Source organism: Homo sapiens, chromosome 5, assembly GCF_000001405.40.
Source record: "Homo sapiens chromosome 5, GRCh38.p14 Primary Assembly".
Lineage (NCBI taxonomy): Eukaryota > Metazoa > Chordata > Mammalia > Primates > Hominidae > Homo > Homo sapiens.
The window spans coordinates 161,807,235-161,831,162 of NC_000005.10; the positions used below are offsets into that span (position 1 = coordinate 161,807,235).

Consider the following 23,928-nt stretch of genomic DNA (forward strand, 5'->3'; position numbering starts at 1 on the left):
GCATAGTATTCTGTGGAGTATATGTATCACATTTTATTTATCCAGTCCACCACTGATGGGCCCCTAGGTTGATTCCATATGTTTGCCATTGTGAATAGCTTGGCAATGAACAAATGAATGCACATATCTCTTTAATATAATAATCTACTTTGCTTTGAGTATATACCCAGTAGTGAGATTGCTGGGTGGGATGGTAGCTCTGTTCTTAGTTCTTTGAAAAATCTCCAAATTGCTTTCCACAGTGGCTGGACTAATTTACATTCCTACCCACAGTGTGTCCCTTTTCTCCACAGCCTCACCAGCATCTGCTGTTCTTTAACTTTTTAATCATAGCCATTTTGACTAGTGTGAGATGGTATCTCATAGTGGTTTTGAAAATATTAATAATTAAGCATCTAATTCTTGAAATTCATGGTGGATAAAACCAGTCCTAATATCATCTGACACTTGTTCTCAAATTCTGCCATTGCAATATTCAGCCTCTCATAGGGGACACTTTTTTGGTATAAAATGTAAGCCATAGTGTTTCAAATCATCTTCCATGGTTACAAATTAATGCCCATCCTATCTCTGATAGCGCGTCTCTATTTTTCTAGTTCCCAGTTTAGCATTGTGTACTGGGCAATGCCCTCTCTCAGAGGCTAGAAATTGAAGAATTAGATTGCATAGCATGGCATACATGTCTTGATTGGTAAATTAGTTGAGTATTTACTCAGGCATAGACAAGTAGCCTGGGAAGACTCATTGAGAATGGGACAAGTATTAGGTGAGATGAGAGCTGGAAGCAGAGACATGTTGGTGTTGAGGGACATGTGTGATATACTGTACTAACATTCACCAGAGACAGCATTAATACTAGAACCTGGGTAGGGATTGATCTTGAAAGTAGAATTCAAGAAAGTGGTTTCAACTATGTTTCAGATAAATCACCCCATTCCCAAATAGTTTTACTTCTACATGGCACTATTTGAAAACACTTGTGAGGAGGCAAGTTCTTGCAGTTAGAAAGCTGGAAAGACTCTTGGTGGTAGAAATAAAATATGTTTCACTATGAGAGAAAGAACCATAATAAACACATAACAAGTCATATGTATTTTTTTCTTTTGAAAAATATTGTGTTAATTTATGAGGGACCAGTGTAATTTTGTTGAATGCATAGACACATAGTGATAATGTCACAACCTTTAGGGTATTCAACACTCAAATAACATACATTGTACAAATAACGTAATTTCTCATCATCCACCCCCTCATCCTTTCAAGTATCCATTGCCTGACATTCTACTCTCTACGTTCACGTGTACACAATATTTAGTTCCCACTTATGTAAGAACTTGCAGTAATTCTCTTTCTGTGTATGATTTGTTTCACTTAAGATAATGACTTCCAGTTCCATTCATGTTGCTGTAGAAGATGTGATTTTATTGTTTTATGGCTGAACAGTATTTCATTGTGTGTGTGTGTGTGTGTGTGTGTGTGTGTGTATATATATATACATATATATATATATATATGTCACATTTTCTTTATCCAATCTCTTGTTTATGGAAACATAGGTTAATTGCATTACTTTTCTCTTGTGAATAGCCTGAAATACACATATGTGTAAAGGTATATTTTTGATACAACGATTTATTTTCCTTTGGGTACATACCCATTAGTAGATTGTTGGATCAAAGGGTAGTTCTTTTAGTTCTTAGAGAAATCTTCATGCTGTTTTCCATAAATGTTGTACTGCTTTACATTCCAGCCAACGGTGTGTAAGATTTCTCCATTCTCTGCATCCTCGCCAGCATCTGTTTTTGTTTTCATTTTTTTTTTTTTAATAAGAGACATTCTGACTGGGGTAAGATGATACCTCATTATGATTTTAATTAAGTCATGTTTATTCTTGATCTTGTTTTTGTTCACTTCCTTTGCCAGTTGAATGCTTTCTCACTTTCCAAGCATAACAAATGGAGATACCTATAAAGGATGAAATATAGGCATTTTGATTTTCAATTGATGCTGTATTAGAGTATGGCTTCCATCAATTATTCATTCCCGGATTTGGCAAAACTATTCTAGTGTGAAGGCGTGAGGATAAGAAGTAATAGATAAGATAAGAAAGCATAGGTAGTAGAAAAATGCTAGCTATTTTTCAAATAATTAAAAAATAATGTACAATAACTAATTGGTCATCAACTGTGCGTTTTTATAGTTACCCAAAAGTAGATATTAATTTCTGTTCTTAAATGCGTATACTTTATTTTTTGAAGTCAAGAATATCGAAGAAAAGGTTAAATCACTAAATACAATTATTCACAATAATAAAATTAGATTCATAAAATAATAGAAGACAGTCATGTGATTATAAAAGTATTAATCCCTAATAAACTCCCAGTATTTGAAAGACACTTGATTTTTCTTTCTTTCTTTCTTTCTTTCTTTCTTTCTTTCTTTCTTTCTTTCTTTCTTTCTTTTTGAAACGGAGTCTTGCTGTGTCGCCCAGACTGTAGTGCAATGGCACGATCTCGGCTCCCTGCAAGCTCCACCTCCCGGGTTCCAGCGATTCTCCCGCCTCAGCCTCCCGAGTAGCTGGTACTACAGGCACCCGCCACAACGCCCGGCTATTTTTTGTGTTTTCAGTAGAGACGGGTTTCACCATGTTAGCCAGGATGCACCTGATCTCCTGACCTCATGATTCACCCACCTTGGCCTCCCAAAGTGTTGGGATTACAGGTGTGAGCCACTGCGCCTGGCCAACACTTGATTTTTTAACATACCAGCCTTCATTTTATTTAAGAGTCGTTCTTTCATTTTTACTTTCATATCTCTCCTTCATTCTCTTTTGTCATGAAGGCGATATGATTAATCATGGTAAAACTACCTAAATGAAAATATATCTATTTTACAATTGTTTTGCCAAAGATAACGGAAAGGCTATATGGAAGTATTTTATTTAAAAAATGAGTAATCAAACTTATTTCTGTTTTAAAATACAGTCATGGAGATAGCTTGGGTAAAAAGCAGAAGCAGTTTAGAATAATAAATGTTCATAATTGATTTAAGCAAAGGAAGTTTAGAGGTGTGATAAGCTTTAGTCTAAATTCCATGCCAGGCAACCCCTATGAATACATACTTGACTTCCTTAGAAAAACTGAAGGTTTTGTTCTCCCCCTAAATAGGTGTTTGCTGTATTATATTTTCATCTCTCTAAAGAAAATTTTGATATCTTGGATACATTATGCAAGCCTCTGGCACTCCTGTGTTTTGTAGGATGCTTCCTCTTAAGTGTTTGGATTGCATTAGACTGTGCTGATTGTGGGCATGCTTCGTCTGGGCAGAATACCAAAGGGACAAAAGCACATTCCTGAGCCTTCAACATAAAGCACTCCATCCATGCAGCCCTGGCACCGGAGGGTGAAATATCAATTATTACAAACATATTCTGGGCACTTTAGAGACATTACTCATTCTTCCATGTGTAATGGGAATTTATGTTTTCAGGATAAGAGAAGGAGTTGGCAGGTGCAATGGGAAGCATTGCAGTAAAATTTTTCTCTACAAAGTGAGATGTTGTCTGTAGAGAGCACGTGCAATACCTCTAGCTTTGCTTAATCTATTTCTCTTGGGGTGGGGAAGCCAGTTTACATTTTCCAGTGAACCATATCCATTGACGATTGCTTTGATTTCATTGTACAGGAGGCTTAACAAACAGCCAACGGATTTATGTTTTAGTGGAAAGCACGACATAACCTTCAGCAGAAAAGCTCCTTCAGAAAGAAACTATGTGCTTAGACTGCCAAGTGCATTTAAATGTTGTAAACAGTCTAAGAAAACAGGACATCTGTGTGCCATGTTCACCAGGCTGAGTGTCCTTTGAATTATGCCCTTGGCGATGAATCTATGCACAGTAGCACGTGCTTCTTGACCTCAACTCCTTGAGCATCTCTCTGGCTGATGTCATAGAGGCTGGAAAGAAACTATGTAATAGTAAAATTTTCCTGTTCCCCTTTGAGGGATTTATGCATTTAAGAGATGCTCCTATTTAACCCACACATTTTGTTCTCTGTTGAGGGCAAAAGCAAAGCAATGATGTGGATAACACAACATGTCATTTCAAAAGATCTTTGTCTTTAATTGGAAAATTAAAATTGTGAACTATGTAATTTTGGAAAATGAAGAGTATAAAGAATTACCCCAAAAAGTTACCCATAATTACTCTGCTGGAGATAACATTTTGTTTTATTTCCTTTATGCATCTGTTTGTATCTGTTGGTATATTCCCATGTATTTGTTCATATCCAGATACATAAGTATTTACAAAGACATACCACATTATATCACAGTTCTTCACTTATCCTTGTATCTTGGACATTTTCTCTTGCTAACATAAGTTATTGTAAAGTTTAATTTTAAATATTTTTATAATATTATATCATATGATTGGTCCAAATATATTTATCCATGTCTTTCCTAGGAGATTCTGATATCCTCATTCTTTTTTTTTTAGGTGTCTGTGATAAAAGGGAAACAAAACAGCATGGGATTTGGAAATAAATTGTGTTGCTTTTTTCCCCTCAAATTCATTTATTTTTAAAATTGACATATAAAATTGTATGTAGTTACATGAACAACATGATGTTTTGAAGTATATATACAGTGTGGAATGATGAAACCTAGCTAATTAGCATATGTATTATCTCACACAGTTAATCACTTTTGTGGTGAGAACACTTCACATCTATCCTCCTAGCATTTTTCAATAATACAATATACTGATATTAACTATAGTCACCATGCCGTACAATAGACTTCTTGAACTTGTTCCTTCTGTCTAACTGTAAATATGTGAATTTGTGTTGCTTTTGTCCAGAGAGTTGGCTTTTGTTAAGAGTCTAGGGTAGAAAATATAATAGTCAGGTGGTGAAGCTAGCTTGCCTCATAGCTGGCTAGAACAAAGCCTCTACCCTGCAAACTTCTCCTGAAACTGTTCGCTAATATCCAAGAAATTTTAATTCCTACTTTGAGCTTTGACCTCTTTAAAAAATATAAATCCTTAGAAGATATACTATTTGAAGCACTTCATCATTTCATCGTGAATGACTTTTCAAGGGGTAGATTTCAATGCTTACCTGAAGAATCAGAGTCTGAAGGGACTAAGGGAAAAGTGAGAGGGAGATGCATTCCAAAATTACCAAGAAAGGGGGTTTCCCTGAGAGCTTGTAAGCAGGCTCTAAATTTCGTCTTAACAGAACAGGGTGATCCGGGAACCTGGAGCCTCTTTAGGGATATTTACTAACCTGGATTAGACATATATAGTTCATTCTTTATCAGATGTTATAACGAGAAGATACAGGAGCAAACAAAAACTTACGTTTGTTCGTTTTATAGAGCATAACACCTGCCAAGGCAAGGACTTGGCTAAGTTATCTTGACAACTCAGACTTAATGGATTTTTTGTTTGCTTGTATTATAGGGATAACATCATGACAATCTGCTTTATTTTTCAAGCAGAGATACTACATTTGGAACAGTGTCAAGAAAAAAATATGGAATCAAATTTGATGTCTGTGGTTGGTTTCTACGTAGGTCAAATACTGTGAGATTTTATTTTATGTATATGAATGGAGGGAGTTTTAAAACCAAAATCTTTTTGGTCCTATTCAGATTTACATGGCTTTGTCTCTAACCTAGGTTCTGTGGGCTTAATTCTAGCTTTGTTGCTTAACTGATGGGTGTAATTAGAAAGTAAATGTTCTCTGTTCCTGTGGCATTTCAACACAAAATTTGGAGATAGAAGGACATATGCCTCATTCATATTTATGCAACGTGTGAGAATCTTGAGAATTTTTTTTTAATTCCTTGTTTGAAAGAATCTGAGTCTCTCATTCCTCAATGTGTATTAGAACATTGCCCATGCTGTTCCTTCCACCTGGAACATCCCTCAAACTTCAATGGAACTTTCTTTTTTTTTTTTTTTGACAGAGTGTTGCTCTGTCACTCAGGCTGATACAGTACACTGGCGATCTTGGCTCACTGCAACCTCTGTCTCCCGGGTTCAAGTGATTCTCGTGCCTCAGCCTCCCGAGTAGCTGGGATTACAGGCACACACCACCATGCCTGGCTAATTTTTGTATTTTTGGTACAGACTGTGTTTCGACACATTGGCCAGGTTGATCTTGAATTCCAGACTTCAAGTTATCTGCCCGCCTCTGCCTCCCAAAGTGCTGGAACTACAGGCATGAGCCACTGCGCTGAGCCCCCCACAGGAATTTCTTCCTCACTTATGTCAAGATGTTGCTCAGATGTCATCTTCTCAGGAGGGACTTAGATGTGATCACTTTATTTAAAACCTCATCTTATTATCTGCATTTTGTATCCCCCCATCTGGCATTATTTTTCTTTCTAGCACTTAACACTTTACAAGGTGGAATATAATTTTTATATCATTTGTGTGATTGCCTTCCACTAGGATGAAAGCTCCACGAGAGCAGAGATTTGGAGCTGCTGTTTCACTGGTGCTAACTAGCACCTAGAGCACTGCCTTACACATAGTAGGAAAATATACACATTTGTTGAGTGAATGCTATTAGTGCAAGATTTTTTTTTATCAATAGATAAATACAGCTATATACAGCTTAGATTGATTTTAGAAAACTACCATGATCAAGGACTCTAATAGCAGCAACAACCCAGAATACCTGTCTGAATACTTATAATATTCTATTCCCAGATTTAAGCAATTATTTTAAAATTAAGTTGGCTGCATTAATTTTAAACTGAATACTTTATCATCGATTTGGGCATCAGCTCCCTAAGTCTCAAAATTTCATTTTTGCAAGATATGTTTTAGCTTAAAGGATATTCTTCCTTTCAAAATATTTTCCAGTAACAAAGGAATTTTTTTACACTTTAAGAGAATACAAAGGAAATTACAATAGAGTATTACCCAGTTTCAGTCAGTCTTTCACCAAAAACATCTAAAACAGGAAAGAGAAAATCAAACAACAAAAAATGACATTCTGAGAAAAACAACAGCATTGCTGTCTCAGAGTTCATGACTTTCTTTCTTTCTTTCTTTTCTTTCTTTCTTTCTCTTTCTTTCTTTCTTTCCTTCTTTCTTTCTTTCCCATTCTCTCTTTTCTTTTCTTTTTTTTTCTTTTATTTTCTTTTTTCTTTCCTTTCTCACCCTCCCTCCCATCTGTGTTTAACTGCATGCATTTACTGGAAGAGGGCACAAATTCATAAAACTTGTTTTCAAAAACACATTATCTATTTCAGCTATCAAACCTGATGCATGAGTTTGTTAGCCACTTTAAATCTGAGTAGGAATTAATTGCCAAATAAAAGATTATGCATTTCACTTATCACTCATTTATTAATCATCATGTACGTATGTACATATTGAGTGAAAGCCCACTATGCAAAAAACATTTTGCTAGTCTTTGTGTTATCTTCAAGATAAACAGAAGAGTCTTTTTATCCTCCAGCAACTTACAGTCTATGGTAGAAAACCACTTGAAAATCCAGGCTGTGTGTGACTGTACTTAGCCAGCTTCCCACAGGGATCTTTCATACAGTTGCTCTCTCCATGGTAATTCATGAAACTGTGCCTATAGTACACAGTCTCTGTGGTCACAAGTAGCTGCTGTGATGCAAACAACTTGCTAAATAAGGCAGGAGACCATAAGTGCTATTAGAGAGGTGTTATCAGTGTGCTGTGGGAGTAATTAATTCTGACTTAAAGTTTGGAGGGTGGGAAAGGGTGGCAAGAGCTAAAATTGATGTAATGCGATTTAAAGTCAGGAAGGTTATTCGGTTTAAGTAAACTGTTAGGGCTACTGGACGTAAAAGATAGAAAATATTTTATAGATCATTTCTAGTTCAATAAAATTACTGATCAGGAAACTGAAGTTCAGAGGGAGGAAGTGCCATTCCCTAAGTTATAGGAATAGTTAAATGCAGTACAGAATTCTGACATCATTTGTTAGCAACTATTTACTATTAGATATTATTTTCAATTCAGAATTTAGCTTTCCTTTTTTTCAACAAAAGTCATCTTTTTTAAAGGAAGCTCTTGATTACTAACATGATCTTGGTCAAACATAAGGAACTTGCAAGGTGAAGTGTATGTAGTATGAAAAACTTTTAGATAAAATAATATTTAAAAATCCACTTCAGGGAAAAATTATTAAAAAGAAATTTTTATGCAGTTTTTCTTAACTATATGAACTTAACATTATAATTTTGTATTTTTTTCTTCTCATGCTTAAAAAATAATTTAACCATAGCAGAAATAGCATGTGGTAGCAATAACAAAGGGGATTATTTGAGTTATTTAGAGATTGTAATAATAAATTTTAAATTTAAAAAAATCCTTTAAGTCTACTGTGACAAAAAGAATTAGAGCTGGAAAGGTTTTCCTCAGGAAATATTAGCACATTTATTAGGAGGCTTCAATTTGGTTCAGTTTCTGAATTCATCCCACCCGCTTCCTCCCCACATGGTGGCTTTCTTGGGAAAAATTATTTCGTTTAAAACTTTTTATTTAAAACTGGAAAAAAAATCCATAGTATGAAACAGCATTTAAGTCATCTTTTCACATAAAAAAAAAATCCAAGTTCTGAGACCTTCAGATAAATAGTCATTGACTCTTGGGTTGACCTTTAGCTATGTCTGTAGGCACTGAGAACTCATGTTCTCTAGGCACAGACATTTAGGGTAAAATTTCATCAGCTCAATACAAATAATATACATGAATGTTATATATCCATTTTTTTTAGTGTTCGAATAAATTATAAACGTCACTCATTAACTCATTCAGCAGACATTTTTGAGCACCTACACTGACAGTAGGCCCAGAATATGCAGTGGTGTACATTTAAGTGGGTTCTTAACTGTAATGTACCTGCATCCTTCCTTCATTTTCATCTGCTTGTCTTTTTGTTTTTGAGCCGGAGTCTCCCTCTGTTGCCCACGCTTGAGTGCAGTGGTGCGATCTAGGCTCACTGCAACCTCCGCCTCCCGAGTTCAAGCAATTCCCCTGCCTCAGCCTCCCAAGTATCTGGGACTACAGGCACGTGCCACCATGCCCAGCTTTTTTTTTTTTTTTTTTTTTTGTATTTTTAGTAGAGACGGGTTTTCACCTTGTTAGCCAGGATGGTCTCAATCTCCTGACCTCGTGATTTGCCCACCTCGGCCTCCCAAAGTGCTGGGATTACAGGCGTGAGCCACTGCGCCCAGCCTCATCCACTTGTCTTAAATCCAGCTTCAGATCCTTAATAGTAACCAACATCTGTATTGCAAGATTACATTTTCTTTTCCTAATTTCTTTCCACGTAGGAATCAAGTGTGACATACGGAGCCATAGAATTACAAATTATGTGAATAATGGCTTTTCTTTTGAGATTATCACTGACTCCATACAAGAAAATTTTCATTCCTACTCTCAGCAATACACAGCAGGTAATGCTGCAGATAAAGGGAGCAACCAGGTTTGTGTTTTGCTTATTTATTTTTTCACTGAATCTAAGCAATTCATATTATTTTACTGCTTTGTCTACATATATCTGGCCTCATCTACAATATTACAGGCTTACAGAAAAGAAGACAATGTTTTATACCCAATAATTTGTATCTGCCTTGGCATGAGGTTGGACTTTATCTATGAAATTGAATTGAAAATACTATTTGAAAGAAAAATTAAATGGAAACACTTTTTAATCAAATAAATTCATACACTTGAAAAATTATGAATCTGTCATTCAAATGATAGTAACTAACATATTTGAAAGACTGCAGTTCTAATAGTGTGCTCAAAATTCAGAGACATAAAAATATTAGTTAAATAAAATATATTGTCAAATTGCTACAAATCCCAAATATAATTTCATCTAGTTTATGAGATATTGAGTTAACTTTAGAGCCAGATTACTTGTTTACTAAACCAGTTCTGTATTTCCAAAAGGGCTCATTATTTTAAAGCATTTATGAAAAGGAAAAGAGATTTTTTGTGTGGATAGTTATTTATTTTTCTATTGAAAATAAAATTAAAGATAGTCAGAAAATATTAATGTCAGACATAGTTGAAAAGTGAGATTATCATTACATTTTCCTCCCATATTTTAGGATTGTAAACTTTTCACTGTTTTTGGTTTTGAGTGTATGTTGTATCTATCATTTGAAAAAGCAACCATGACTTAAAAACAGGCAAAACAACAACAAAATTAAAACGTGTGATTTCTTACAAGATTCCTTGGCATATTGTTTACTTATATATAATTTAGAGTTATTTAGAAATGGTCTGAGAATACTGTGTAAAAAATACCCTACAAAATTGAAAATTTAATGAAACAACTGTTAAATAAGGCATTTAATAGCTTAAGGGTACAACTGAAAAGATATCAGTGATTTATCATACCTTTGAGTTTTATGGAATACTGAAGTACCCTATGATATTATTCCAGGTTTCAAAGTTCCTAAATTTTAATCTAGGAGAGATATAGGAAGCGTAAGCAATAATTCAGCAGATGGCACTCATGCCCTTAGGTCTAGAATCAAACTCAATCTAAAGATGTTGGTTTCACACCTAAGTATAGAAATAGCACTTAGATATCTGTAGAAATTATTTATCATAATACCAGAAAGGGCAGCAAGTATATTTGCAGTGGGGTGGTAGAGTGGGATGAGCAAGCTCATATGATTCACAGTAAAGAACTGATACAGTTGAATCTGTCAGTAACCCTGAGTCTAACTAACAGTGTTCCATACCACTGTCATTGGCTTTTCTGCAAAGTCAGTAATTATCATTTTTGGAGAAACTATCGTTCCTTGTGGTTTAAAACTTTTAAAAATATGTTCACACTTGCAGAGTCACACTTAGTCTTCTTTCTCCTGAGATATTTGACAAATACCCATTAAGGAAAAGCCATGTGAAATGATATTGAAAGGTGTTTCATGGAGGGCAAACATGTTTCCGTTTTTTATATACTTGTTTTGGTGTAGAAAGCAATATGAGATGGAATCCCAATAATGCTTCTTTTTTATCATCAATCCTATGATACTAAATCAATTTCCCATCAAGTATATGAAAACTATAGAACGACCCTGTGGGAGAAAAATCAGAATTAAGACTATTTTTAAAATAAATGTCTTGTCCTGCTAAAGCACAGTAATATATGGTCCTTTCCTTTACCTTTCATAAATTGCATAAAGTTTTGAATTATTTGGTCAGAATCACAATAATGTAAATTTTTCCTATTCACAGTGTGTCATAGTAAAACTGTTAATACACAAAATTTGCCAATAGATTATGTTCTAAAAACAAACCAATAATGCTAAACTTTCAAAGTAGGAAAGCTTAGGAAAAGTAAATTTGATTTCTGTATCTTAATGCCATACAAATTTATTGAATGTTAATGGAATAATTTCAGAAACAGGAGTTAAAACTGCACTTGTAGTCCAACAAAATATCAGTAGCTTTCATTCAAAATTTTAGTCGTCTAAATGTTTAGACTACACAACACCCAATACATTGGGCAGACTGGAGGTCATAGTCAAGATTCATTTTGAATAATAAGAGACATACTCTATCCTCCTCACTCAAGGAAAGAATAAATAGAGAGTCTAAATGGTATCTATATAACTCATGATAGTGTTCCAGAGACTGTGACTTTGTCTGAGATGCTCCTCGGCTGAAGAGATCCATATTTCTAACATTCAGAGATTGTCGCATGAATCCTAAAATTAATTGGTCCATGACTTATGGAATATGTTACCGAGTACAAGTAAGGCATTATAACATGGGGGTCAAGAGTACATACTCAAGTTCCCTAGTTTAAAATCCTTGTTCTGCCACATAATAACTACGTGACCATGGACAAGTTGCTTATCCACTGTGCCTCCATTTCCTTAGCTGTCATGTGGAAACATTAATAGTACTTACCTGATAGTAATGACAGAAGAATTAAAGTTATTACTTGTAAAGTTTATAAAATACTGCCTATACATAGCAATTGTTACGTTAAATATGTTAAATAAAATACACTGGGGAAATGTTTGTATTGTAGCTTCCTCTTTAAGGTCACGATGCATAATTATATTAAAAGCTCCAATAAAAAATAAACGAAGATATGTCTTGGTAACAAACAACTCCAAAATAGCAACAGCTTACAACAAACATTTAATTTTTACTCATATATTATGTAAAATGGTTTCAAATATTGGTTCTGACACTTACCAGCAATGCGACCTTGGGCAATTGACTTAAGTTTCTGCACATCAGGGTCCACATCTGTACAATGAGAACAATAATAGTGCCAATGTACCAGAGGGCAGCTGTGAGAAATAGATATATTAGCGCATGCAACATGCTTAACACAATAACTGGGAGATTGTAAGCATACTATGTTAATTTTATAATTTAAATTCTTTTTCTGTCTTACAAGTGAGGAAACCAAGACTCAAAAGATGAGGTGATTTAAACAAAGGTAATCCTGCTATCAAATCAAATGATGAATCAGAGGCTCTCACTAAGATTGAACTAAATTAAATCCCCTTTGTACTGTTTTGCTTTACATTAATTACTGGGAAATTCTAATTGTTATAAATACCTACAATAATGCTATTGAGATATGTGATCAAGAATTTGTAAAGAAATAACTTTTTCCTAGCATGTTATATTTCGGTGAGACATATAATTTGCCGCATTTATATGCACAGAGACAGAATGTGAGAGAATATGAGATGGCAAAAAGTAAAAATACTGGTCACCATCATTGTGATTTTATGTATTTCCCAGTTCTCATTAATGTCCCACAGTAGGATAGAAGATGGGAACAGTAGGGAAGGAAACATTTATCGAGTACTGATAAGGCTTCTTGCACTATGCTGCACCACGCCCTACACCTCACTTACTTCCCAGAACAGCAACCATGTAAAATAGGTATAGTGGCTACAAATGTTAATCTTTGATCATGGCAATATTATTCCTAGGCTGATACTTTTTGATGTTCTCTCTGTCACTAATTTCAGCTTGAACCATAGCATAAAGTGGAAAATATTATTTTTCACTTTGTTAATGTCCCATTTTCTAAGAAAGATCTCTCTTGATCAAACTATGGAAAAGAAGTTTCATCCTAGTCATATCACTCATCACTCCTTGAAACTGTAGTGTACATTGATAATCTGCATCCCTCAACATTAATAGAAGTGTCTTACATGCAGGGGAATTGTCTGTCTCGTTCACCGTTTAATCCCCAGTGTCTAGGATAGTGCTTGAATGAATGAATTCATCTGAGAATGTAAAATAGAATGAATGAGGCTAAGAGATTTAAGAAATTTATCCAAGCATTCACAGCTTGTGTGTTGTACAACTGGAATTTGCGCTACAGATTTGAGTCCAAACCCTGTGGGCATCCCATTGTGCCAACTGTTTCCACCTTGCTTCAACAGTTAGTATCACTGTTGTCATGGAGAGCAACACAATGTGGTATTAGGTTAAACCATATGGGATGTTTTTCTGAATTTAGTGACAGTAAGTCTATTGTGTGAAGTATATAAAAGAGCTACACTGCTAATGGGAAGGATATTTTGTTATAGAAGAATCAGTAAGTTCAAAGGCCCATATGTCAGTGGAGAGCACAGGTTTTTCTAGAAACTGACAAAAGACCAACATGCTTGGAAATTAGTGAGTGACAAAGGGGGGTTTGAAATGAGATTGGAGAAGTAGGCAATGTATAGATTGTACATAGCCCTGCAGGTCTTGCAAATAAATTCAAATTTTATTCTACATGCAATAGAGATTTACTGGAGATTGTAAGTAGAACAACATAATCTGATTTGAGTTTTTGCAAAGTCACTTTGGCTGCTATGCAGAGAATGGACTAGGAATGGACAAAATATAAGTAAAATAAATGCATGCACACACATACACCTTCACACCCTATATGCTGCCTTTGAGGAATGTGTCAAATGGGAGAAGAGATTATTTTGCACAGGTCCAGAAACATAGTGACAGTGAAGTTTCCATCCAGATGATAGCATCCCAAACCTATGAACAGTAGAAGGTATTGACTCCCTCCATCACTGTTCAGCTGCCTGCCCTCTGAAGTAGCAAAAATGATCTCACACAAAATGGGATCCTACCCTATTGATAGCAACTATAAACCAAATATAATTTTGTATGCAAAATAGTCAGTGCATAACAACAACCTATAAATTTCCTATTATCCAAAAGCATTTTATTCTCTGTACTATGCAGTTGCTAACAGTCGTTTTCTTTCATTTTCTTTTTTATGACCATGTCATTCTTCCATCCAAAATTCCCCACCAGCTCTCCATTTTCTGTTATTTTCTAGGATGAAATTCAAACACTTGAAGTTCCTCATGATCCGATCCCCATAGTCTTCTCCATTCTCAACTTTATCAGCAATCCCTACTCATCCCTCTTTCTCTCTTTCTCTCTCTCTCGTGTGCACACACACATACACATGCACACACACACACACACACTGTACTGAGGCAGTAGTGAATATATTTATCACATTCTATTATTTTTCCCATGTTTAGTATCTTTTGAGAATTTTCATTTTTAAAATTTTTGGTCTGACAAGCTTCTTTTCAATCTTAAAACCTCAGTTATTGTCATCTTCCTCAGAAAGACATCCCTGGTACTTCCTTAATGGGAGGCAGATATACTTAAAAAAATGTTCTATACTTTTGTGCATGGATATATCAATTTATTATTTATTGAATTATTATTTATTTATTACTAGTATTAGTTTTCTGTTGAGGGACTGCATTTCATTTGTTTTATGTTTAATGGGTGTAGTATCATTGGACTCAAGATTGTTTAGCCATTCAACAAATATATTCCAGGTTAAATTATACCTTTCATATATATAGATATTCCAAATAACGAACATGCATGCAGAAATAAAGCAGATTATGCATAAACAGTAGAACCAAGATAACTATTATTAGCCCTTTGTCAATTCCTAATTACCAAAAAGTATTGCAACTTCACAAAACAAAAGAAAATAAATCCTCAGTAGAACTGAAAATATTCTTCGAAGTTCTAATATTTGTGTTTGTGGTTTTGGAAATCTACATATCTGGCATATATATTATAATGTAAAAAATAAAATGAAGTCAACTAAAAAGCTTTATTATTTTAAAAAGTAAAACTTGTAAAGAATGTGTTAATGTATTGTGGATACCACCCTCTTTATTGTTTTGATTTAAGCACTTCAAAAATGATGTTTCAATTGGGTGCCACCACCACAATTTATAAGGGTTTTGGTCTTTATTCGTTTATTCAATATGCTACCGAACTTTGAAATTTAAGAAACTGTGAGATGGAACAAAACAATGCACTATTTGTTATTTGAGAAAGCAGTAACTATAAGACTGCTGTCAGTTCTGGCAAACGAGATCACACTTGTGAAGGTACAGGAATAGGTTTTTTAAAGTCTCTATTCATAATTTTGATAATATGCAATACTTCCTGGACTCAGGACAACAGAAGTGAGGAAATAGAATATACATGCAATAAAGAAGAAGCCACAGTGAATATATTTATTTTTTTGTTGAACATTATCATTTCTTTCTCAGAATCCTTTGCTTTCTTTCACAAGACCACTGGAATGTCTGCAAATAACATACATGAAAATAGTGTTCTAATGAATTAATTACTTCAGGAAAAGGATCACAGACTTCAGCATAGTTATGTGAATTCCACTAGAGAGCAGATATTTGTGGGAAGTGTCCTTGTTTTACTTGTTCTCTTCTGTAAACACTGCATCTGAATCAGTGGAGCAAGCCAGGGAGAATCTTGGCATTTGTTGGACTAATGAATGATGCATTGAGTATGCAACTTAAAGTTAAATGAAAATAATAGTATTATTTTCAATGGTTACCACATTTGTTGCATTTTCCAATCTGTTTTTTTCCTCTGGAAATATATAGCCATATATTTCATTTTTGGGGAACTTTTCATGAATAAGGTGTAGACACATTGTTCCCTCACCCCAAACAGTACGGTATGTATGTTCCACAAATAACACTTTCTTGAATAACTATACTATAACTCTCCAGTTCAGAAAATAAAAATTGGTACAGTATTACCATTTGAACCTAAATTCCCATTCAAATTTTGTCAATTGCTTTAATAATGAGAACTTTATCTTGTTGGCTTTGGGTCTATCCAGAAAAGCAAGTTACATTAATTAATTGTTGCAACAGATTCTTTCATCCTGAATCAGTTCCTCAGTGTCTTTCTATCTTACATGTCATTGACAAGTTTAAAGGGGACACGCCCTACATTCTGGAGGATGACCCTTGACGCGGATCCATCTAATGCTTCTTCGTGTCCTGACTAAGGTCATGCATTTTTGGCAGGAGTGAGTTCCATGGAAATGAGGTGGCACGTTTCTTGGTGCATCACCTTAGGAGACACATGATATAGACCAGTCCTTCCCCTGGTGATTTTAACTTTAACCACTTGGAGACACAGGGTCTACTAAGTTCTTACACCTTACAATCACCATTTTTCCATTTGAATTATTAGTATATTGTAGGGCAGTATTTCACAATCATGCCATAAATTTATTCCTCAGTGAACCACCACTAAATGGCTTTCATATCCACTGACAGTACCTGCTTTAACCAACCATTATCTCTGATGGCTGCCAAGTAGCAATTCTCTTACTCCTATTATTCCTTTAAAATTCATTGGCATTCCATTGTAAATAAAAATTGTATCCCTACATTTCTTTATTTTTATATATAATAGACTAAATATAATATATAATGATTCTAATAATTAACTCATTTATGATGACAGTATAAAATCATGAGCTTCTATTTTATTCGTTAGGGTTGCAATACATTTTTGCCATTGGCTATTTTAATGCCAAAATCATCCCATTCAAACTAGCTTCTATATAGTTTTGACATGTCCCCAACATTCATTGAACATTGCCATAATGTCAGGTGCAACAGAATGTTGCAATCATGCTTTTCCCGCCCTTGTCCTGGAATCAGTCATTTCTCCAAGAAGCTCTGGCTCCTTTTAGTGAGGACAGCATTTAGAAGCTAAGATTATGGCCCTTGCCATGCTCAATTGTTACAGGGGTGTCATTGCTTCTAGGCCCTTTCAATGGACAGAGCTTGTATATAAATGTATACGAATGCATATACAACTATAAATATTTGTTGAATATGTACATTATAAAATCATAAGCCCATAGTGAAACCTCCAATTTCAATCCAATACCTCATGCTTGTTTTCATTATTATATTTTCTTTGTCTATTAATAACTTCTTTTGCTTTGAAAGGTTCCATTTTATTCTAAATGCAGTTACTTACTTGCTCAGTGTAACCAAACTGTAGCTGTGAAGGCCTCCTTTCTGTCTTTGCCGATCTCCTCCCAGCACTCCCACTGTTGGTCACCAAGCTTCTGGTCAGGTTATCTGTGTGGATCTCTAATCCTCCCTAAATGCCCTGCATCCCTGGTCACCATCAATCCTGCCAGCCCACACCTCATGTAGCTCTCCAATTTTCCTCTCTGTCACCACCTCACATTCTACTTTCCATGTGTTCTCCTCCACATGGTAAAGATTAACAAAAACTGGTAAACATGTTTTAAAAGTTTTTTGTTCATTGATGATTACTTCGCAAAAGATTCATTAAACATAGCCCATCTGTGCCTTCTTAGAATACCAACTAAAAAAATAAAGAAAAAAAGAAGAAGGAAAAATTCTAGCTCTTTCTTTTTTATTTTTGGGTCACATTATTTGAGTCATCTAAAGAAATAATTCTGCAGCTGTGCTTAAGACTTTATCTCTTTGCAGGTCGAGCCTCAGAATACTAATTAAATTTAAAAAGTGTTTATTGTAGTATTCAAGAAATCTGTCAATTGTAACACCTGGTGTTAGAGTTAAAATGTTGTGATATAAATATTAGTTATATAAGCACTTGTAAGTTGCTTTTTTGAGAGCATTCATATAAAATTTTATGATTTTTTAAAAAATAGAATACCAAGTGACCATATATATTATATGCAAGGTATAGTCCTTACTTAGGGCAGATTTACTGCCCCCATTCAACAAGAGAACATTGAGACAAATGTATCAAATAGTTTCCTAAAGTCTCAGAAGTGTCCAACTCTTACAATTTCACTACATAATGCTGCTAACTCTAACATGAAACATGTATCTAGAGATTATCTTCTCTTTTCTTCAAAACATAAATAGTATTGTGATGATATTCAGATAAAATATTTTTATCCATAAATAATAGAACATGCCATTCAAAGAGGGTCTGAGGAAATTTATTACCTCATACAACAGGAAACCCAGTGCCAGTAACGGTGAAGACGCTAAGATTTTACTCTGCTAGATCAGCTTTTGTGTTGATTTTAACTGCACACTGGTTCAGACAATGCCCTTACATGAAGTTGGCTGCATTACAGGAGAGAAACTCGAAACTTAGAAAACAAGTCTTCTTCAATGGACGGTAATCTTGCCTAAAGTTTTTTTGTTTTGTTTTGTTTTTTGTTTTTTTTGTTGTTGTTGTTTTGTTTTTAGGTAAACATTATCTTTACCACACTGAAAACAGTAAGCAAAGCCGCCGTTGGTTCCAGAATGAGACACTATCTGTATCTTTCAAACTCTTTTGCTATACAAACATCCTTGAAAAAAATGATCAGAATCAAAAGCAGTAAGTGCCTTTGCCTGCACAGAGATTTAAAGATATTCAAGATACCTACAGAAAATTAGACACAAGCTTCAGCTTGATTTTAGAGTTCATATAGCAAATCAGCAATATTATCATGGACCCAGATGCTCAGTACTTTTGTCCTCTTTTCTCCTTAGGATATTGGCAGCTGTTACTTACGTTTGCAAGATGTGTTCATCAGTTTCTTGGTACCATATTGGCATATGCCCACTGTAAGTGAAAAAGAAGGGTGTTCCTACTATTACATGTTTCCTGTGGGTAAAGCCACATAGATAGATTTTCCTGCATGTCTCTCTTCAGTATTGGGCCATACATTCATTCCTAATCCCCAGGTACCAAAGGGTATGAGACTGATCATGATTGTCAGCCTCCATTTTCCGTTCTGAGCCATTTAAGGGCCAATATCCAAATAAACTGAGGTACTATGGCAAAAAAAAAAAAAAAAAAAGTAGACAGACGAGGCAACCAGCTGAGACTTTCAGGCTCATGGATTCCAGAAATGTTGCTGCTTCTATGCTCTATAAATTTAAAAAATTTCTTTTGCAGCACAGCAGTAGAAAATGGCCTTTCTTTTCCACACAGATTAATAGAATATGAGCAATTACAGAAACCTTATATTTGGGGCAAACCATAACTAGGGAGCTAGGTGGGTCATGCAGCTTCATCCTAGGGTCTGATAGTTTAAGATTCTTACGCCATTTACAGGGATTCAATTCTAGATGTTTCCCTCGTTTTTACCCTGAAGACAAGTGACAATATATATTAGCATTACTATCTCTTTAAGGAACCTTTCTCAAGCTTCTGTTCTAAAGTGCTTCTTCTTATTTATATCTTTAAAAATATGAGTAGGACTGCTCCTTCTTATATTCGCTTGTGAGCGTATCAGTATCTTCTTCATCAACAAGTCATCTCTTGAATTACCAGAGAGCCAATTAGTATGATTCTGAGAGCAACTTATGTTTGAATGGTCTCTAAAAATGTGTTTTATGGAAGGAAAGTGAAAAATATCCATTTGATTAATTTAATCACTAAAGATGAAACTTCTTTTTCTTAAAAGTCAATACTTTCCCTCCAGTAGTTTGGCTCTTCTTTTTTGCTAAGCTAAACTTTTATATCCAAGAGTTCTGAAACACATACCCTACTGTGATATAATGGGATCTTATGAAACTGGGTTACTAAGTATTTCTAGAAACCTAAAGAAGATTCGTTAATCTTTTAACCAGAAAAGCCTTAGCAGAATACGATAAAGGCCTTTTTTACTACTTGAAAAGAAGAATGTGTTCTCATGTCTCTCTTCCTTAAGAGAAGTAACTACCTAAATTTTTCTATCTGGTTTTAAAATTCTGGTTTGCATTATGTTACATTTAGTTACTAACAGAGGACTTTTTAGTCTTTGATCTTGGACACTGGTTCAAATGTTTCTTTTGCTGTTTTTTTGTTAGAACTCTTTTCAAAATCATGGCCAGAGATAAAAGCCTACACATTGGGTATCGTGTATACTGCTTGAGTGATGAGTGCACAAAAATCTCAGAAATCACCACTAAAGAACTTATTCATGTAACTAAACACCACTTGTTCCCCAAAAACCTATTGAAATAATAAACAATAACTAAACAAATTTTTTAAAAATCATAATTTTGCTTTCTACGAAAAAAAAAATCAGAAAGTAAATGTGTCCTAGTTCACATAGTCACCTATTGACTTTGCAGAAGGGAGAAAAATGGAATCCTAAAACAGATCTTTCTCCTAGAATAAGTTGCCTTAGAGTACATCAACTAGTAAATTTTGAAGTAGGGTTCAGAAAGCCCTACTTAGCCTCTATTACTGTGTGACACTGAAAAAGTTACTTAACTTCTCTGGTGTTTTTGTTTCCTCACCTGTGAAGCACAGGCATTACATTAAATGCTCTCTAAGAATCATCATTCCATACAGACTTATTTCAGAATCTGTGGGACTTTTATGATTTGCATTACTTTTATAAACCAGTAGTCAGTATGTTTCCTAGATATGAGAGAATGCCTCTAATTCTCAAAAAGTTTTGTTTTGTAATGTTTTAATGATTCAGTTCCATGATTTTTATTCCAGTGTTTTTATCTCCATATGTGCAAAACAAAGACTGAGCTTCCTGACCCACCTTCCTAAAAAACAAGCTATCTATTTCTGCTTTTCTTCTTACTGATCCTATTGCTCTTTTGAAAATAACAAGTTGAATTTAATTGGAGTAAAATTAGATTTATATTCAGTAGTGTTCTTTTCTATTGAATTTGCTCTCTAAGAGACAAGCAAAACTTTTAATAGAATAATGATAGTAGTAATATGCACCACTAGCCACTACAAATTCCCTTTGGAAACAAGTTGAAGTACAAATAAAAATAAGAAAAAATATATTTTCTATAAGCAACCTATTTTAGAGTAATATATTTCTAAAATATCCATTTGTTATTTTCTAATTAACATACGTATTTATTAAGCTCACTAGGTAAGCAAAACCGTCACTCTATTTTTCCCTCCAGTCTGTTTACTCAGTGTCCGCCATGGTCAGATGAAAACGATGATACTTTCTGCCAAAAATTCTTGTGAGTGGTGGTTCCTGGATATACTATTTAGCATGAAATGATGCATTTTATGGGCTTAAAAGAAAACAATATTCCTAGAGAAATAATTTCAGAGACAATAGTCTTTAAAAAAATATATAGATGGTGGTCAAAACCACATGGGTGCACCTGAATACTAATTCCTTCTACGCTGACTGATTTCTCTCAGAAATTTACTTGGCAGAATAGAGGTGATGAGAATTGTGGCTAGGATATAAATGATAGCAACAACCACTATTACAATGAGAAAGACAGTTTACCTACAACCATCCCAACAAGAAGACCCTGATAAAATCTAATTCCTCAGCTTGGAACCACACTCAGAAGTATTTTACAGCCCTTCCTAAAAGATCACAAAGTAAACGTTCCACAGTGAAGATGGGGGATTGTTCAAAAGCTCACAACCTCCTCAGAATTTAGTGTGGTAGGAAGTTGGGCCAGGAGCTAATGAAGAGGGATACGGACTATTAAAAAAAATTAGACATGCTAAAGGATCCTAAGGCTGTTACTGTTTCCGAAAAAGTGATTACTTCCTTTGAAATCAGGGCTATACAGATTTTCACTGATGCAAAACCACTGGCACTTTAGTGTAAATGGTACTACTTTGTTGAAAGTGATCTTGGCTTCAGTCACAATGCCCAAGTGGGCATAGTGATAAATGTCACTGTGTGCTGTCTCTAACCAGCTTCTAAACGCTAGGAAAGGGGAGCCCTGGGAAAACGCAAACTTCCTTGACTACGTAGAATAGACTATGCTCTTGGCTGGGTGCGGTGGCTCACTCCTGTAATCCCAGCACTTTGGGAGGCTGAGGTGGGTGGATCTTGAGGTCATGAGATCGAGGCCATCCTGGCCAACATGGTGAAACCCTGTCTCTACTAAAAATACAAAAATGAGCCAGGTGTGGTGGCGTGAGCCTGTAGTCCCAGCTACTCAGGAGGCTGAAGCAGGAGAATCACTTGAACCTGGGAGACAGATGTTGCAATGAGCCAAGATCGCACCACTGCACTCCAGCCTGGGTGACAGAGTGAGACTTCATCTCAAAAAAAACAAAAAAAAAACAAAAAAAAAAAAACAAAAAAAAAACCAAACGAACAAACAAAAAAAAAACAAGAATAGACTATGCTCTTATCCTGAGGTACTAAAAGGTCTGCAAAGTGGCAGAGAAACAAAAACTGTCTTCAATGTGGAAGCTGCTGTTAGTGGGAAGATCTGATTAAATCAAAGAGGTGTCTGCAACTTTGTGCACTTATAAAAGGGTTGTTCTTAAATAAAATTGGAAAACGGGAGGATATTTTTAAATTTTTAATTCATGGAAATTATTTCCTCAAATATGAGCTTTCTTTTGGTTTAACAGTGAATGTTCTTAATTTCCTTTGATGTTGGTTATGTTCATGGAATGGGCATTGTTGCATGAATAAACACCAGTGGCTTTTTATTAATAAGTCAGAGAAGTGACTGCTGTAGTAGTTTGGGCTTTCTTATATTTGTTTATTGAATCCCACAAATAAGCTCCCTTATCCATCCTCCATATTGATGCCAGGAGGTCATTCAAGAACACAAATACAATCCTGTTTATCTTTGCCTACAACTGCTTAATAATTCCATGTTGCCTAGTGTACAGTGCCTGTATTCCTTAGATTGCTACAAAAAGCCTTTCACAATTTGGCCTTTGTTTACCTCTCTACATATGTAACTCTGTTCCAGGACAACATATCCACCCTTGAGACAAATTCACTCCTGTTTTCCAGCTGTATCAAGCATGCTGAAGTTCTTGGGAAACATGATATTTATATCTCTTTTCCTTTATTACACTTTCAATCTGTATTATATTTCCATTTTTCCCTCTAAGAAACTTCTATTCACCCCTCAAAACTTAATTTAGCATCTTCTGAAAAGCCTTCCATGACATAGAATCAATCACTCTTCATCTTCCCACATCCTCAGTATCTAGGGCAATCTCTAGCACATGGCAACTTCTTTTTTTTTTTTTTTTTTTTTTTTGAGACGGAGTCTCGCTCTGTCGCCCAGGTCGGACTGCGGACTGCAGTGGCGCAATCTCGGCTCACTGCAAGCTCCGCTTCCCGGGTTCACGCCATTCTCCTGCCTCAGCCTCCCGAGTAGCTGGGACTACAGGCGCCCGCCACCGCGCCCGGCTAATTTTTTGTATTTTTAGTAGAGACGGGGTTTCACCTTGTTAGCCAGGATGGTCTCGATCTCCTGACCTCATGATCCACCCGCCTCGGCCTCCCAAAGTGCTGGGATTACAGGCGTGAGCCACCGATGGCAACTTCTTAGTAGTTATTTTATTTATGTAGATATTATTTATGACAACACTTTTCAGGATTTTTAATCATCAAATGTACCTGCAAAACCTTTAAGAAAAATGTGGAATATGCAAATGTATCAGGAATTATGTCCATTTTCTGTTAAATAGCAGAGACCTGGCTACAATGGCTTAAACCATTACCATTTTACTTTCCTACCAAACATCTAATGAAGATGTCAGTACATCAGGGCTCATATAGTAGTATCACAAAGTAAAATGAAGTTTCATTTATAAGTTTTGTTATGCTAATTTGTGGATTTTATCCTGAAAACAACCCAATGTCA

At 35.2% G+C, this 23,928-nt stretch overlaps 1 long non-coding RNA gene across 2 annotated transcripts in view; it reads right to left on the reverse strand.

The window, feature by feature from the left end:
* Positions 1-1,614: 1,614 nt before the first annotated feature.
* The window catches only part of LOC105377696 (uncharacterized), a 41,745-nt gene continuing 19,431 nt past the window's right edge, over positions 1,615-23,928 (reverse strand). The window contains exons 2-3 of one of the 2 annotated variants that reach the window (XR_941158.4): positions 12,224-12,277; positions 1,615-1,965 (exon numbers count right to left, since the gene is read on the reverse strand). This is a non-coding gene — a long non-coding RNA (uncharacterized LOC105377696). Of the gene's footprint in view, positions 1,966-7,483; positions 7,601-12,223; positions 12,278-23,928 lie in introns of those variants that run through there. The other variant, XR_941157.3, reaches the window with a different exon arrangement.